General features: G+C 50.4%; 1 protein-coding gene across 8 annotated transcripts in view, besides 4 other annotated features; it reads right to left on the bottom strand.

Moving 5' to 3' along the window:
- The window catches only part of SAG (S-antigen visual arrestin), a 39,240-nt gene that overhangs the window by 10,706 nt on the left and 14,010 nt on the right, over positions 1-14,524 (bottom strand). For 7 of the 8 annotated variants that reach the window (XR_001738882.2, NM_000541.5, XM_017004641.2 and 4 more), the window contains 6 exons: positions 13,345-13,404; positions 9,153-9,229; positions 7,737-7,872; positions 6,773-6,857; positions 4,638-4,710; positions 1,251-1,388 (listed from right to left, as the gene is read on the bottom strand). Coding sequence is in view for 7 of the 8 variants with exons in the window: in NM_000541.5 (NP_000532.2) it covers positions 1,251-1,388; positions 4,638-4,710; positions 6,773-6,857; positions 7,737-7,872; positions 9,153-9,229; positions 13,345-13,404 (569 nt within the window). In the remaining variant the exon portion in view is untranslated. Of the gene's footprint in view, positions 1-1,250; positions 1,389-3,983; positions 4,434-4,637; positions 4,711-6,772; positions 6,858-7,736; positions 7,873-9,152; positions 9,230-13,344; positions 13,405-14,524 lie in introns of those variants that run through there. The other variant, XM_017004643.2, reaches the window with a different exon arrangement.
- Positions 6,091-6,872: an enhancer, noted in NCBI's record as "OCT4-NANOG hESC enhancer chr2:234238124-234238905 (GRCh37/hg19 assembly coordinates)". NCBI's record gives its function as "activates a minimal SCP1, AML or CMV promoter by ChIP-STARR-seq in naive H9 embryonic stem cells {active_cell/tissue: H9 hESC(naive)}" and the evidence as "EXISTENCE:reporter gene assay evidence [ECO:0000049][PMID:30033119]".
- Positions 6,903-7,734: an enhancer, noted in NCBI's record as "H3K4me1 hESC enhancer chr2:234237262-234238093 (GRCh37/hg19 assembly coordinates)". NCBI's record gives its function as "activates a minimal SCP1, AML or CMV promoter by ChIP-STARR-seq in primed H9 embryonic stem cells {active_cell/tissue: H9 hESC(primed)}" and the evidence as "EXISTENCE:reporter gene assay evidence [ECO:0000049][PMID:30033119]".
- Positions 9,032-10,009: an enhancer, noted in NCBI's record as "H3K4me1 hESC enhancer chr2:234234987-234235964 (GRCh37/hg19 assembly coordinates)". NCBI's record gives its function as "activates a minimal SCP1, AML or CMV promoter by ChIP-STARR-seq in primed H9 embryonic stem cells {active_cell/tissue: H9 hESC(primed)}" and the evidence as "EXISTENCE:reporter gene assay evidence [ECO:0000049][PMID:30033119]".
- Positions 14,069-14,118: an enhancer, noted in NCBI's record as "active region_17338". NCBI's record gives its function as "activates an Ori minimal core promoter by ATAC-STARR-seq in GM12878 lymphoblastoid cells {active_cell/tissue: GM12878}" and the evidence as "EXISTENCE:reporter gene assay evidence [ECO:0000049][PMID:35858748]".

The following is a 14,524-nucleotide window of genomic DNA, read 5'->3' as shown; positions in this document are numbered from 1 at the left end:
AGAGACAGGGTTTCACCATGTTGGCCAGGATGGCCTCCAACTCCTGACCTTAGGTGATCCACCCGCCTCAGCCTCCTAAAGTACTGGGATTACAGGTGTGAGCCATCATGGCCGGCCGAGTCGTACATGTTTAGAAACTAGTCCACACACCATGAAACATTCCCACAGTGTGGTGAGCCATCATTGTTCATCTTACGATCCCTACGCCCTTGAATACATTGATCTAGGCTCTCAGTTTCCCTGATATTCTCTCTCCCGGAGCTTCACGAATGTGCTTTAGAATCTAACACAGTAACTTGGCCAATTATCCTCAGAAAATCCTTTGACTTCCACCTGCTTTCTGCCAATTGTTCACTGTTCCCCACTCTTGGTCTCAGAGAGTGTGAGCTACTGAGCATCGGAGTCATGGGGTCAAACAATCCAGTCTCCCAGCCATTGGCATCACCTCGGAGGTGGTCTACTGGGGCCACAGAGGGAACCCCCAGCATATCACATGGGGAGGTGGCAGTGAGTGGGCCTTGAGCCCACAGACATGCTCCCGGGAAGGGAAGCGCAAAAGCGTGGCTTGGAAGGACAGTGGACGCTGACTTGGGAACTTCACTGTATAGTCTTCGCTAGATCTGCTGCCCAAATTCAGCCAGTCGTCCTTTGAGTCAGGGTCAGCAGATCAGTACTTAGTTTCATTTAAATTTAATGGACATCTAAAGTCATTAGGACCTCCTGTTCTTTACAATTCCTGATGGAAATGGACGAATGAATGAATGAATGAATGAACACAGCCAAGAGCATTACTCAGTTTACATGCTTAGGGCACCACACTAGCTAGTGATACTTCTAAAAACAGTAGCTGACATTCCTGGAGCACTCTCTGTGTGTCAGGCCCCACGCTTCACATGGATTGTCTCACTGAATCCTTATAATCACTCTATGAGACTTGAACTATTACCGCCCCCACTTTACAAACAGGAAAACTGAGGTTCTCAGAGAACTCAAGGTGTTTTCCCAGGGTCAGCAGCAGAGCTGGGGTTAGCGCACAGCTGTCTCCAAGGCCCATGGGTGTAACCCCCACATCACACCAGGGGTGAGAGTGGGATCCTTGTGTGGGCCCGTAGATATGCACTCCACACTACACACGCCAGACCACCATGCTGCACGTGCGTGCCTGCGAGCCCAGCAGGGTGATGTGAAGGGAAGCAGACCAGCACCAGCCCGCCCTGCCAGGGCTTATTCCCTGAGCCTCGAGGACTCACATGGTGCTGGAGGCAAGGTTTGTGTCCTCGTGCTTGATTTTCCCATCCAGGGCAATGCCTCTCCTTTCTCGATTGTTAGCCAGCAAGGGCAGCAGCGTCAGCGTCTTGGTCAAAGTGCTGTTTGGTGGCACTTTTTCTCTAGAGGAAGAAGAACAGAGGAGATTTATAACCATCAAAGCTGCCATGGACCCCATGAGCCCCTATTTGACATTAGGCATTTTCCAGGATCCACATCCCCTGATGGACCTCCTGGGAAGGTGGGTTCAAGAGCCTGGGAACTTGACTTACGAGAAGCAGAACAGTGCTTGTGAAATCTCAGGGTGGGCTGGCAGCAACAGGAGGATATTTCTTCAAGCAACTCAGCCTATTCTGAATTGCTGAATTTCTAGAATGTTCTATGGAGTTAATGAGACAAACTGGCTCAAGAGTCAGAGACCACAGCCTCCTCCTGAGACTTTGTGAACCACACGGTGGCCTGCAGAACCTTCTGGTTGGTGTCAGCAACGAGTCCAGGCCAGAAAGCCTCTTGTCACCAAAAACTGTCACTATAAGGGGGTCACAGTGTGACTGTGTGGTAAGTTGTCTAGAGGGGCAACGCAGGGACCCACAATTTGTGGATCACACAGACCGAATAGCTTGGGTCCAAAGCAGCACATGCTCTTTCTCTACTGGATCTTCTTCATCATCAGTCGGGGTATAGATTTCTCAACATCTGACAGATGGCGGAGACCCTGTGCCAACAGGCGGGTCTGGGATCCAGCTGGGGACACAGCAATGTGTGTTTCTCCAGGCAGACACACGGCAGCATGGCCAGGATCATGAAGCAGCCTCTGCGGCTGGAGAGTTGGCTCCTCCACTCACGTGCATGCTGTGTGCCAGGCCAAGTGCTAAGGCCTGTCCTCAAAACTCTCACCTTACCCTCATCAACCCCATACCAAGCAGGTGCTCCAAGATCCCCATTTTCCAGACGGGAAGTGTGCCCACAGTCACGTGGCTGCACACTCTCTGACAGCAGAGCCCATTCGTGCCGGAAGCACACCCTCCATCCTGTGCCTAGCCAGAACAAGGTGGGGTGTGGCCAGCATCAGGACCATTCTAAGGCTGTCCTGAGACAGCTGGAAGTCTGAACTGCCTCTCTGGGAAAGGACTTCCTTTCCCTAATCAAGTTTCCCTGGATAGGTAAAAGCAGCTGTCCCCTATCCTGCCTCCAGTGTCTACAGGAAGCTCTTTACAGAAATCTGCCAGAGCCCAAGGTGGCCCACATCCTACCATCTGGGTCCTGGTGGAACCTCTCTTAATGAGCGTAATTTGAGCATTGAAAAAAGCAGAAACAGCATTGTAAAGATGGCTGGAATAGGAAGAGGGCCCTTGGGGTTGGGCTCAGAGGATGGACTTTTTGTGTTTGTGCAGAGCTTGCCAAAGGACTATGCCAAGGCTCTGGGGCCACTCCCCAGAGCTTCAGGATGTGGGTTTGGATGGTGGGGAGCAGCTTGGGAGTCAGGTCTGTCCTGGTTCCGTGGAAGCCTGCCCACTAAAGCCCCAGAAGCCACAGGGCTCTGGGACGATGGCTCCTGCTCTGCAGCTTTCTGAGTGGCCTCTAGCTTCAGACTTGTCAGCATGGTCCAGTCCAGCTCCCAGGCTCCTCCAGCCTTTGGGGGACTTTGGAATGCTTTCCAGTTTCCTGGGAATCTTTGACCCAAAATGCACCCAACACTTTGAAAGAGGACCAGGTGATGGAATACATATTAGGGGAAAACTCAGCCAGGATCCTTTGCTCCCATGTTGCTGAGCACATGAGGAAAGGTGAACCAGGGCCAAGACCCCTCCAGGGCACAGGGATGTGCGAGGATCCCCTAAAGGCAGAACAGAGCCCAATCTTGGCAGAAAGGAGGCAGTGAGTGGTGGTTCTTTCCTGTCTCCCTCCCTTGTAGACCTACAGTTTGAATCTGTTTTGAATAACAGTAATAGTTTCTCCTAAAGTTGCCTTTTAAATATTCCCATATAGGCCAGGTGCGGTGGCTCACGCCTGTAATTTCAGCACTTTGGGAGGCTGAGGCAAGCAGATCACCTGAGGTCAGGAGTTTGAGACCAGCCTGGCCAACAGGTGAAACCCTGTCTCTACTAAAAATACAAAATCAGCCAGGCACGGTGGCTCACTCCTGTAATCCCAGCACTTTGGGAGGCCGAGGTGGGCAGATCACCTGAGGTCAGGAGTTCGAGACCAGCCTGGCTAACATGGTGAAACCCCATTTCTAATAAAAATACAAAAAATTAGCCAGGGGTGGTGGCGTGTGCCTGTAATCCCAGCTACTCAGGAGGCTGAGGCAGGAGAATCACTTGAACCCAGGAGGCAAAGGTTGCAGTGAGTCAAGATCGCGCCATTGCACTCCTGCTTGGGCAACAAGAGCAAAACTCCGTCTCAAAAAAAAAAAAAAATACAAAATTAGCTGGGCTTGGTGGCGGGCTCCTGTAATTCCAGCTACTTGGGAGACTGAGTCAGGAGAATGGCTCGAACCTGGGTGGTGGAGGTTGCAGTGAGCTGAGATCTCACCACTGCACTCCAGCCTGGGCAACAGAGTGAGACTCCATCTCAAAAAAATCTATCTATTACCTTATATTATCTTAAGGAATCAGTTGTCTTTCATCATTCCCCTACCCTAACCTTCCTCTAACCCTGATAATATTTTTTACATACAACGGTGCTTAGAACATGCCAGCAAGGCAAAGAGTTAAGACCTGGTCGAGCTATCCTCTCGGGGGGCTGGAGGTGGGAGATCATCGCCCCCCACTCCAAGCCATGTATTAAATGAATCTATTTGACTTTGTGGCACACAGCAAAGCTGGGCAGGTCTCTCAGGCCAGCATAAAGGAACCATGGCAGGATTCTCATTTGTTTTTGATTCTAACAAAGGGGAAAAGTCATTCACAACAACAGGCTAAGAACAGATATATTCTAATCCAGTTGTCACTGGTATAAGATTTCAATTTGAGATCAAAAGATAGGGAATCCTAGCCTGGGCTGACAGTTCATTTGACCATCTTCTGGGAGGTGGAAATAGTACCAAATTCCTAACAATTCATTCCAAGGATAAATAGAAAAAGCCAGCTGATCCCATGGTGACATTTCTGTCTTTATTTCTCTCCTCTGCGTCATTCTTTGGCTTGCATTAATCCTCAGAACTCCTGTAAGATGGGCACAGAGGGGTGTGGTAGATGCAGAGCTAAGATGCTAACTTTCTGTGCAGCCCTCGAAGGGAGAAAGAGGAAGGAAGTGGAAGGCTGGCGAGCTAGCTGAACATTCTAGTTCCTTCTTCAGCAATAAACGGCGAGAAACTTGACACAGAAGGCTGAGACGCCCAGGAAACGGAAACCCCAACAGCTACTCACTGCGCTTCCTCCATAGCCACGGGCTTGACGTAATAATCACTCGAGTAGAGAACCACATTGGCCACCTGTTCCACTGCAAGGGGAAGACGGGAGTCCGGTGGTCAGCACTGGTCCCCCAACACGTGCACTTTCCCTGCGGCCTCCCAGGGTACACGCTGGTCTCTCCTCTCTGATGATGGTTTCCCTCCACTTCCAAGGCTAGGCTTTCTCAGCCCTCAGCTTCAAGGCTGGGGTTTTGAAGTCCTGTCTCCAGGCCATTTCTGGTCACCCATAACCTGCTCTGTATCAACTCCCACCCATGTCCCCTAAGGCTGCAGCTCCTGGGAGACCCCTCCTTTCCCCTGCTCAGCCCTTTCTAACATCCTCCATCTTACTTCATGAACATTGTCCTTCCTGTCCTCCAAGAGACTAGCTAGAGGCAGTACAGGACTGGTTGGTGGGTGGAACGTGGTGGATAGGAAGGTGGGCCTGGAGCCAGGCTGTTTGGGTGCCAATCTTGGCTTAGCCACTAACTGTGGGGTGAATTATTTATCTATTCTAAGCCTCAGTTTCCCCATCAGTAAAATGGGGGTAATAATTGCATCTAACTCATAGGGACGTTGTGATGATTAAAAAGATGACTTTTAATCACCTTTAAAATTAAGCTTGAGGATTTTTTTAAAAAATAAAGGCAGGGTCTCCCTATATTGCCCAGGCTGGTCTTGAACTCCTGGGCTCAAGGGATCCTCCCACCTTGGCCTCCCAAAGTACTGGGATTACAGGCGTGAACCACTGCACTCAGCCAAAGTTTGAGGATAAAGAAACAATTTGTGCAAGGCATGCAGTACAGTGCCCAGCCTATAGAAAGCAATTAATATTTTGTTTTTAAAAAGTTAACAGCTATCCGGGTGCAGTGGCTCACACCGGTAATCCCAGCACTTTGGGAGGCTGAGGCGGATGGATCACCTGAGGTCAGGGGTTTGAAACCAGCCTGGCCAACATGGCGAAATCCCCATCTCTACTGAAAATACAAAATTAGCCAGGCAAAATTGGTGCACGCCTGTAATCCCAGCTACTTGGGAGGCTGAGGCAGGAGAATGGCTTGAACCCAGGAGCTGGAGGTTGCAGTGAGCCGAGATCACACCACTGCACTCCAGCCTGGGTGACAGAGGGAGACTGTGAAAGAAAGGGAGGAAGGAAGGAAGGAAGGAAGGAAGGAAGGAAGGAAGGAAGGAAGGAAGGAAGGAAGGAAGGAAGGGAGGGAGGGAAAAGTCTAGAATTCCTTAGTCTGCACGCATCAGGATTTCTGACCCTCATCTGTGATGACTCACAGGGAAAAGTGGTATATGACACCTAGGGCCACTGCTCACCCTGGCTTGCCCGGGAGAGCCCATTTTAGGACTGGAAGTTCCACATCCTCAGTCCTGGGCCCTGGGACAGTCACCCCAAGATGCATAAGTCTAACTTTGTCTTGGTCATTGAATGTTTGAGTTAAAAAGTGAACTTAGAGGTTACCCTCACAGGTCATTCCATCATGTCTTCCTCATGAAAGAGCCAAATAAGACCATTATATAAGACCCCCTGTGCTTTGATGCTTTTTGAGCTTAGTTAATGTGTGGGAACAACAGGCAGAAGGCACCTCCCCTGTAGGATATGGGAAGGTCAGCCATGACATGATGGCCATTTGAGCCGAGACAGTCACACTTCACCATTTACAAAGCGCTTCCATGTGGGACCTCCTTCAAGCCACACAAAGCCTGGGAAGGTAGACAAGGAGCCCCTGCTGTGGATGCCAGCTGGGATCACAGAGCCCACAGCATGAGTCCACAAATTAGGCCTCACCCACAACAATGTGCTGCATCTGTCAACCACAATGAGCACTGTGGGGCCCTCCAGGAAGGCATAACCATGGAAAGAGATCACTTGCCAGGAATTTTGTTCCAAGACAAAAACCAGCCGTAAGTGGGCAGGAAGTTGAATGAGATAACTTGTAAGGCCTTTCTCCCTCCGCAGTCCTGCTGCCTATGACAGCAGAGACAAGTAGCCAGTTCCAAGGACCCAGAAGGGCCTTATCAGACCAGAGAAGTGACCTCTCAGGAAACAGGATCAGAAATTCTAGAAGACTATGCCCTCTACTTCTGAGAAGAAGGTCCTACCGAATGCTTTAATCTTCTTCACGGTCTTCTCTGTGTTATTGGTGACAGTCACGGTCACAGGGATGGGCTCCCCATGGAAATAGATCTAGAAAAGTCAGCAGATAGGTCAGAAGAAGAGAACAGATGTGGCGGTGTCTTTAATCTTACTGCTTTCTAGATTCATCTCAATCCCTTTCACTGGAATAAAAGCGGCAGAATTTAAGGAAGATGAAGTGATAGCAATACATTTCTTCTAAGGAAGGGCCTGAAACACATTCCACCCATCTGTGGGAAGCTGGGGAGGGGAACAGAGTTCCGATCATCACATCGGAGGAGGCCAGGGGTCAGGAGGTTATGGGGGCAGGATGAGTGAAGTGAAAGGAAACCACTGGGAAAGCCAAGTGCTGGCATCCCACCCAGCAGAGCCCGTGTAACACAGCCCCTGGCACACCCACACACGTGTATACACACAGTGCACAAATGGCTGACTGCTGACCAGAGGAACCAGAGCCAGCCTTGGCCAGCAGCTCTCACCTTTTCCCACCATGACACCCCTAAGAGATGACATCACAGGTGACACTGCCATCCCACATGGTTTCTGCAAAACTTAAATTTCCCAGGAAGTGAAGAATTTGGGATACCACAGCTATTGATGCTCCATGAGTGAACAAGGCCCATGGAGGTGGACAGGACAAGGACAGCTGGGGGGCAGGTATGTGAAAAGCAGCGCCCCTTCCTTCCCCAGTCCCTCGGGACAGCCAGTGGGTGGAACGCAAGCCAGTTCCGTCCTCCTCTAAGGACCATGCTGACCAGCTCCAGGCTGTGAAAACAGGCCAGTCACTTACGCATGTTGGTGCTTTATCCTAGAAACAAGCTTCCTTGCAAGGCACCCATGTAGTTAAGGGCTGGGGCTGGTGAAGAGAGGGGTGTGGGGCCTGCCCCTAGGCCTGCTGCCCTGCGGGTAGTAGCGATGGTAGGTGGTTACCTCTTTGTTGAGAGAGACCGCAAGGTGCAGGGGCTTGTCAGACATGAAGAACTGCCAGGCCGCCTCAGCTCGGGGCTGGGGACCCATCTCAAGTGGGGCATGCTGTACTTTGCGGATCAGTAATCGCACGGAGCTCCTGTGGGAAACAGCCACAGACAAGCCAGGGATTGGCACCCAGGCCGCTTTAGGGAGGCTTCTGTTCTCTCCCCACTGTCACATGGAGATTCTCCAGGAATGCTCCCCATGGAGACAGGGTGGACGGGAAGAGGGCAACGACACTGGTCAGAGCCTGAGGCAGCCCTGACGGTGGAAGAGCCTGGGGGTCTGGGTCCTGGTCCCTTCCCTGTGGGGGAAGCTGTGGGGCCAGGCAACATCCCGAGGGCCAAGCTTAGCCCCTTAGGCTCCGTGGATTCCCAGCTCTGCCTCCTGTCAGCAAGGCTAAGGTGTGAGGGCGTCAAGGGCCTCATGGAATAGCTGCCATATACATGCGAGCTCCATTACTGCAGCTCACTATCCTGCGCCTCCAGAGATGTGTACATGGGGCACAAGGAGACAGTGCGAAGGGCCAGGCGGAAATCTTGTTTAGGTAAAAAAAAAACAGCACAGGGGGTGGGAGAATGGGAAGGATGGAGCGGTAGGCTCAATGGTTGTAGAGTTCCTGCTCAGGCAATGGGAAAGTTTTGGGTATAGACAGCGGTGAAGGCTACACAACATTCGGAATGTACTTAAGCCACTGAATGGTACATTTAAAAGTGGTTAAAATGGGCCGGGCACAGTGGCTCACGCCTGTAATCCCAGCACTTTGGGAGGCCAAGGCGGGCGGATCACTTGAGGTCAGGAGTTCAAGACCAGCCTGGCCAACATGGTGAAACCCATCTCTACTAAAAATACAAAAAAAAAAAAATTAGCCAGGCGTGGTGGCGCACGCCTGTAATCCCAGCTACTCGGGAGATTGAGGCAGGAGAATCGCTTGAACCTGGGAGGCGGAGGTTGCAGTGAGCCGAGGTCACATTGCACTCCAGCCTGGGGGACAGAGCGAGGCTCCATTTCAAAAAATAAAAGAAAAAAAGAAAAAAAAGTGGTTAAAATGGCAAACTTCATGTTGTGTACATTTTACCACAAAAAACAAACAAACAAACAAACAAACAACAACAACAAAACTTCAACAAAGGGGAAACCCGGGAGCTTTTCGGGGCTTACGTGAGCCCTGGAGGTTGCTAACTTCCCTGTCATTTTCTTGTTTTCTTTTTTTTCCCCAAAAATGATCAACCTTTGACCTCCATCCCACATGCAGATGGTACCCCAGCCGTGCCAGCCCTATGGGAAGAGGTCTGTCCCACAGAGACAAGGTGGAGGTCGTCTCTTCTCTCCACCCCCACCGCAGACCCCTCACCTATTCCGCAACCATACTCTTACTTCTTGGGGATTTTGTCCTCTTCGGCATCGGTGCTGTCTGTGGCGAATGCTTTGACCTCAAAGTCAACCCCACAGGACTGTTGGGGAGAGAGAGCAGACAGGCAGCGATCAGCGACTCCCTCCCTGGGTGCCGGGCCAGAGGGCCACACCTCACACAGGGCACATGATGTGGCACTATCTCTTTTTGTCTTGGCCATGTCCTATTCGGGGTTGCACCATTTAGGGATTTGGAAGCATACTGACAGTGAAACAATTACAGTAGCGCAAGGAGTGTGCCATGGGCCCAAAGCCCCCAGAGGGAGGGGATCCACCTGCCCCATGAGCCCTCCTGCTGCCGTGGAGAGTCATTCACATCCTGGCTATCCTTGCCTCCTGCCACCTTGCACACTTAGGTGTCCCCAACTGTGATCCCATGCATCTTACTGACTTCCACTGCCTACAGCAGGGGCCAGAGGTACAGGCACTCACAGGGCCAGCGCTGGGGTCCAGGAATGCCCTGATAGGGTATGGAAACCCTGACCCCCATGGTCACCTGCTGTTCAGCGGCAGCCTCATGTGGCCAGGCAGCAAGGCACCCAGTGCGGGCAGCACGATTTTTTTTTTTTTTTTTTGGAGATGGAGTCTTGCTCTGTTGCCCAGGCTGGAGTGCAAGTGGCATGATCTCGGCTCACCACAACCTCCGCCTCCCGAGTTCAAGCAATTCTCTTGCCTCAGCCTCCTGAGTAGCTGGGATTACAGGTGTGCACCACCATGCCCGGCTGATTTTTGTATTTTTAGTAGAGTTGGGGTTTCACTAGGTTGGCCAGGCTGGTCTTAAACTCTTGACCTCATGATCCGCCTGCCTTGGCCTCCCAAAGTGCTGGGATTATAGGTGTGAGCCATCGCGCCCAGCCAGCTTGATTTTTAAAAAAGAAACTTCACGTGGAATTTGGAGTGAAATCTCCTAGTTTTTAAATTAAATAAAAAGACTTTTAAGCATTGTGTGGGCTGAATGAACGGATCTGCCAGTGACCTTCCCCCGATTCCCAGTGTGTGAAGCCCCTGGCCCCCAGTGCAAGCCCTTTGTAACCTCCCTCATCTCTGCACGTTCACATGCGTTGGGGAGCCAGAGGAGGGCACCGGCCTGCCCTCCACCACTGCCTGGAGGGGAAAGTAGAGCTGGCAAAAATTACAGGAAGCCAGCTCTGTCCATGGTGACATATGAGGCACGGATTTATTGGTTCTGCAACCAGGGAATCATAGCAGTCCTAAACTCTAAGTGGAAAATAAATATGCATCCTTCCCTGCCATCAGCCGGCCGTTGTTGAGCCACACCAACGCCTGTTCTGCTCGCCCACCTGGGCTTCTCAGCTGTCAAGCCCCCAGGCCCCCAGGCATTCAGGCACTTCTCTCAAGCTCCCTGGGCTCAGGGCGCACCCACTTTCCTGAAGCCCTGCAGCTGTGCTAAGACCTGCTCCTCTCCTAGAACAGAAAATAGGTGGTGCTTTGTTGGGCCTATACAGTGTTGTAAAAATCAAGAAAGGTCACCTAAAAATCTGAATTTGGGGTCTCTCTTATAGAGCACTATAAGATCTAACACAACCAATTCCATTCCCCATTGTTCTGTGCCCCCTTCTTCTGTAATCACCTCATCTTCCCCCATCTTGGCTGCGCACACCCCACCCCATTGTCCTGGACCACTAGCTTCGAGATGTTCTGAAAGTTGGATTTGTAACACAGCCCAGTAAACAGACACAAACGTGCAACAACTCTCCTGACACCATATTCAGCTTCACCATGTGTGACATACTCTGAGATTTTCCAATCCATTCCATTTTGTTCTGTTCTATTTTTTTTTTTTTTTAGATGGAGTCTTGCTCTGTTGCTCAGGCTGGAGTGTAGTGGCACAATTTCAGTTCACTGCAACCTCCGCCTCCCAAGTTTGAGTGATTCTCCTACCTCAGCCTCCCAAGTAGCACACTACCATGCCCAGCTAATTTTTTTTTTTTTTTTTTGAGATGGAGCCTTGCTCTAATGCCCAGGCTGGAATGCAGTGGCACAATCTCGGCTCACTGCAATCTCCGCCTCCCAGGTTCAAGCAATTGGCTGGGATTACAGGCACGCGCCACCATGCCTGGCTAATTTTTCTATTTTTAGTAGAGACGGGGTTTTGCCATGTTGGCCAGGCTGGTCTCAAACTCGTGACCACAGGTGATCTGCCCGCCTCGGCCTCCCAAAGTGCTGGGATTACAGGCATGAGCCACCGCACCCTGTCTGTTCTATTCTATTCCATTCCATTCTGTTCCCTTCCATTTTGGATCCACTACATTGATTTCACGAACCACTAACGGGTCAGATGTCGCAGATGCCCTGCGACAAAAACACTGCCCTTGTCATCACCTATCACTGCCCATCCCATAATCCAGTTACAGAAACTGCCTCTCTGTGTAGCTCCCTTCCTCATGAATCCCAGACCCAGTGGCTTAGAGGGCCTGAACCCACGGGTCCTGGCACCTCCTTCTCCTCCTGTCCCCACCGCCTCCTTCCATGCTGGAGCCCCGTCCACCTGACTCACTCCTCTCTCACACACCCTCAGTCCCCACAGCACATGCTTGGCCATCTCAACTCTGTTCTCAACTCTGTGGCCATAGTGACCATTTGGAAAGTCAGCGCCTGTCATTCACAGCCTGCCAATGGCTCCCATCTCATTCAGGCAAAAACTCAAGTCTCTACAACATCGACAAGGCCCTTCATGATCTGGCCACACCTCCCCTTCCACTCTAACCTCAGCTTCCCACTTTTTTTGTTTGTTGTTTGTTTTTGAGACAGGGTCTCACTCTATCGCTCAGGCTAGAGCGCAGTGCAGTGGCATGATCACAGCTCACTGCAGCCTCTGCTTCCAGGGCTTAAGTGATCCTCCTACCTCAGCCTCCCAAGTAGCTGGTACTACAGGCATGTGCCACCAATCCTGGCTAATATTTGTATTTTTTGTAGAGATGGGGTCTCGCCACGTTGCCCGGGCTAGTCTTGAACTCCTGGGTTGATCCGCCCACCTCAGCCTCCCAAAGTGCTGGGATGACAGGCCTGAGCCACTGCACTTGGCCTCCCCCTTTCATCCCTTGCTCCTCTCACTCAGCAGGCAACCTCCTCACTGCCCCCGGAACACACCAGGCGAGGTGCGCCCTCTACCTGGAAGGCTCTCCCCTGGGAGAGTGTGGCTTTCTCCTTTGCCTCATTAGAGACTGGCTTTAAACATCCTCAACACACATCCCACCAGATACTCCCCTTGTCTCTCACAAGCCTCTTGTTCTCCACAGCATCTGTGGCCACCTGGCATGCCGTGTAGTTCCTTGTTATTTGGGTTTACCTGGTGCTCTCGGTTAATGTGTGAGACTCATGGGGGTTGGGACTCTGTGATTTTGTTCACAAGGATGTTCATGGTTAATAACTGCTGAAGATGAGTGATGGGTTCATAGAGGATCTTTATACTGGTCTCTCTACTTTTGGGTACGTTTGAAATTTTCCATGAAAAAAAGCTATCTTTAAAAGTCTAATGGGCCGAGCGCGGTGGCTCACGCCTGTAATCCCAGGACTTTGGGAGGCCAAAGCAGGCAGATCACCTGAGGTCGGGAGTTCGAGACCAGCCTGACCAATGTGGAGAAAACCCATCTCTATTAAAATTACAAAATTAGCCAGGCATGGTGACCCACGCCTGTAATCCCAGCTACTCGGGAGGCTGAGGCAGAAGAATCGCTTGAACCTGTCAGGCAGAGGTTGTGGTGAGCCGAGATCATGCCATTGCACTCCAGCCTGGGCAACAAGAGTGAAACTCCATCTAAAAAAAAAAAAGTCTATTGAAGGAGCCAGTGCAGTGGCTCACACCTGTAATCCCAGCACTTTGGGAGGCCAAGGCAGGCAGATCACCTGTGGTCAGGAGTTTGAGACCAGCCTGGTCAGTGTGGTGAAACCCCGCCTCCACACAAAATACAAAAATTAGCTGGGCATGGTGGCACACACCTGTAGTCCCAGCTACTCAGGATGCTGAGGCTAGAGAATCACTTGAGCCCAGAAACCACAGGTTGCAGTGAGCCAAGATCACGCCACTGCACCCCAGCATTGGTGACAGAGTAAAACCCTGTTTCAAAAACAATAAAAAAGTCTATTGAAGGAATGAACAAATCCATAAAACCATGGCATTTCTTCTTGAACTAACCTTCCCTGAATCTTGTGGAGCTGGCTGCAACATCACTGAACAGGGCAAGTAGTCAGGAAACTGTGGAAAGAAACAAATAAAAAATCATTTATTTCAGAAGGGGCTGTTCCATTAAGTAATATATAATCATGTAAAAATTAGAAAATAAAGATGATAAGCAAGAAAAAAGAAAAATCACATTCACCTATACTCCTGACACCCAAATACATATTGCTAACATAACCTTCCCAAAATTTCCTGCCTGTACACATAAATATGTATGTTTTGTTTTGAGATGGAGTCTTGCTCTGTCGCCCAGGCTGGAGTGCAGTGGAGTAGCTGGGATTACAGGCACACACCACCATGCCCAGCTAATTTTTGTATTTTTGCTAGAGATGGGGTTTCACCATGTTGCCCAGGCTGGTGTCAAACTTCTGATCTTAAGTAATCCACCCACCTTGGCCTCTCAAAGTGCTGGGATTATAGGTGTGAGCCACTGCAACTGGCCACGCCCAAATATGTATATGTGAGAAGACGTTTTACAGAAATGGGACAAAGTGATGATCACGTTCTGTAGTCTGTTTACTCACTTCATTAATTCTAGCCCTTTTCAGAAAGCATTGTGACCATTTTCCCACATCATAAAATACAGTTCTGAATCATCCTTTTTAGGGCTCTATAATGTACACTTAACGTAGCCAGTCCCCTTTGCTGGCTACTGAAGTGGTCTTTACTTTTTTGCCATTACAAACAATGCTGTAATAAATCAGTTTTAGACAATTAATTCCATAAGCTGAACTGCTAGAAAGAGAAGCACTTTTTTTTTTTTTTTTTTTTTTTTGAGACAGAGTCTCGCTCTGTCACCCAGGCTGGAGTGCAGTGGCGCGATCTAGCTCACTGCAAGCTCTGCCTTCCGGGTTCACACCATTCTCCTGCCTCAGCCTCTCAAGTAGCTGGAACTATAGGCACCCGCCACCACGCCTGACTAATGTGTGTGTGTGTGTGTGTGTGTGTGTGTGTGTGTGTGTGTGTGTGTGTGTATTTTTAGTAGAGACGGGGTTTCACCATGTTAGCCAAGATGGTCTCAATCTCCTGACCTCGGAGAAGCACACGTTTTAAGGCTTTCAATACGTGTTGACATATTGTCTCTAAAAGGTTATGTCACTTCAAACTCCCAGCACAGGTACATGGGAGCACCCAG

Source organism: Homo sapiens, chromosome 2, assembly GCF_000001405.40.
Source record: "Homo sapiens chromosome 2, GRCh38.p14 Primary Assembly".
NCBI lineage: Eukaryota > Metazoa > Chordata > Mammalia > Primates > Hominidae > Homo > Homo sapiens.
The sequence above is the reverse complement of the archived record's forward strand: the minus strand, read 5'-3'. Positions and strand labels throughout refer to the sequence as shown.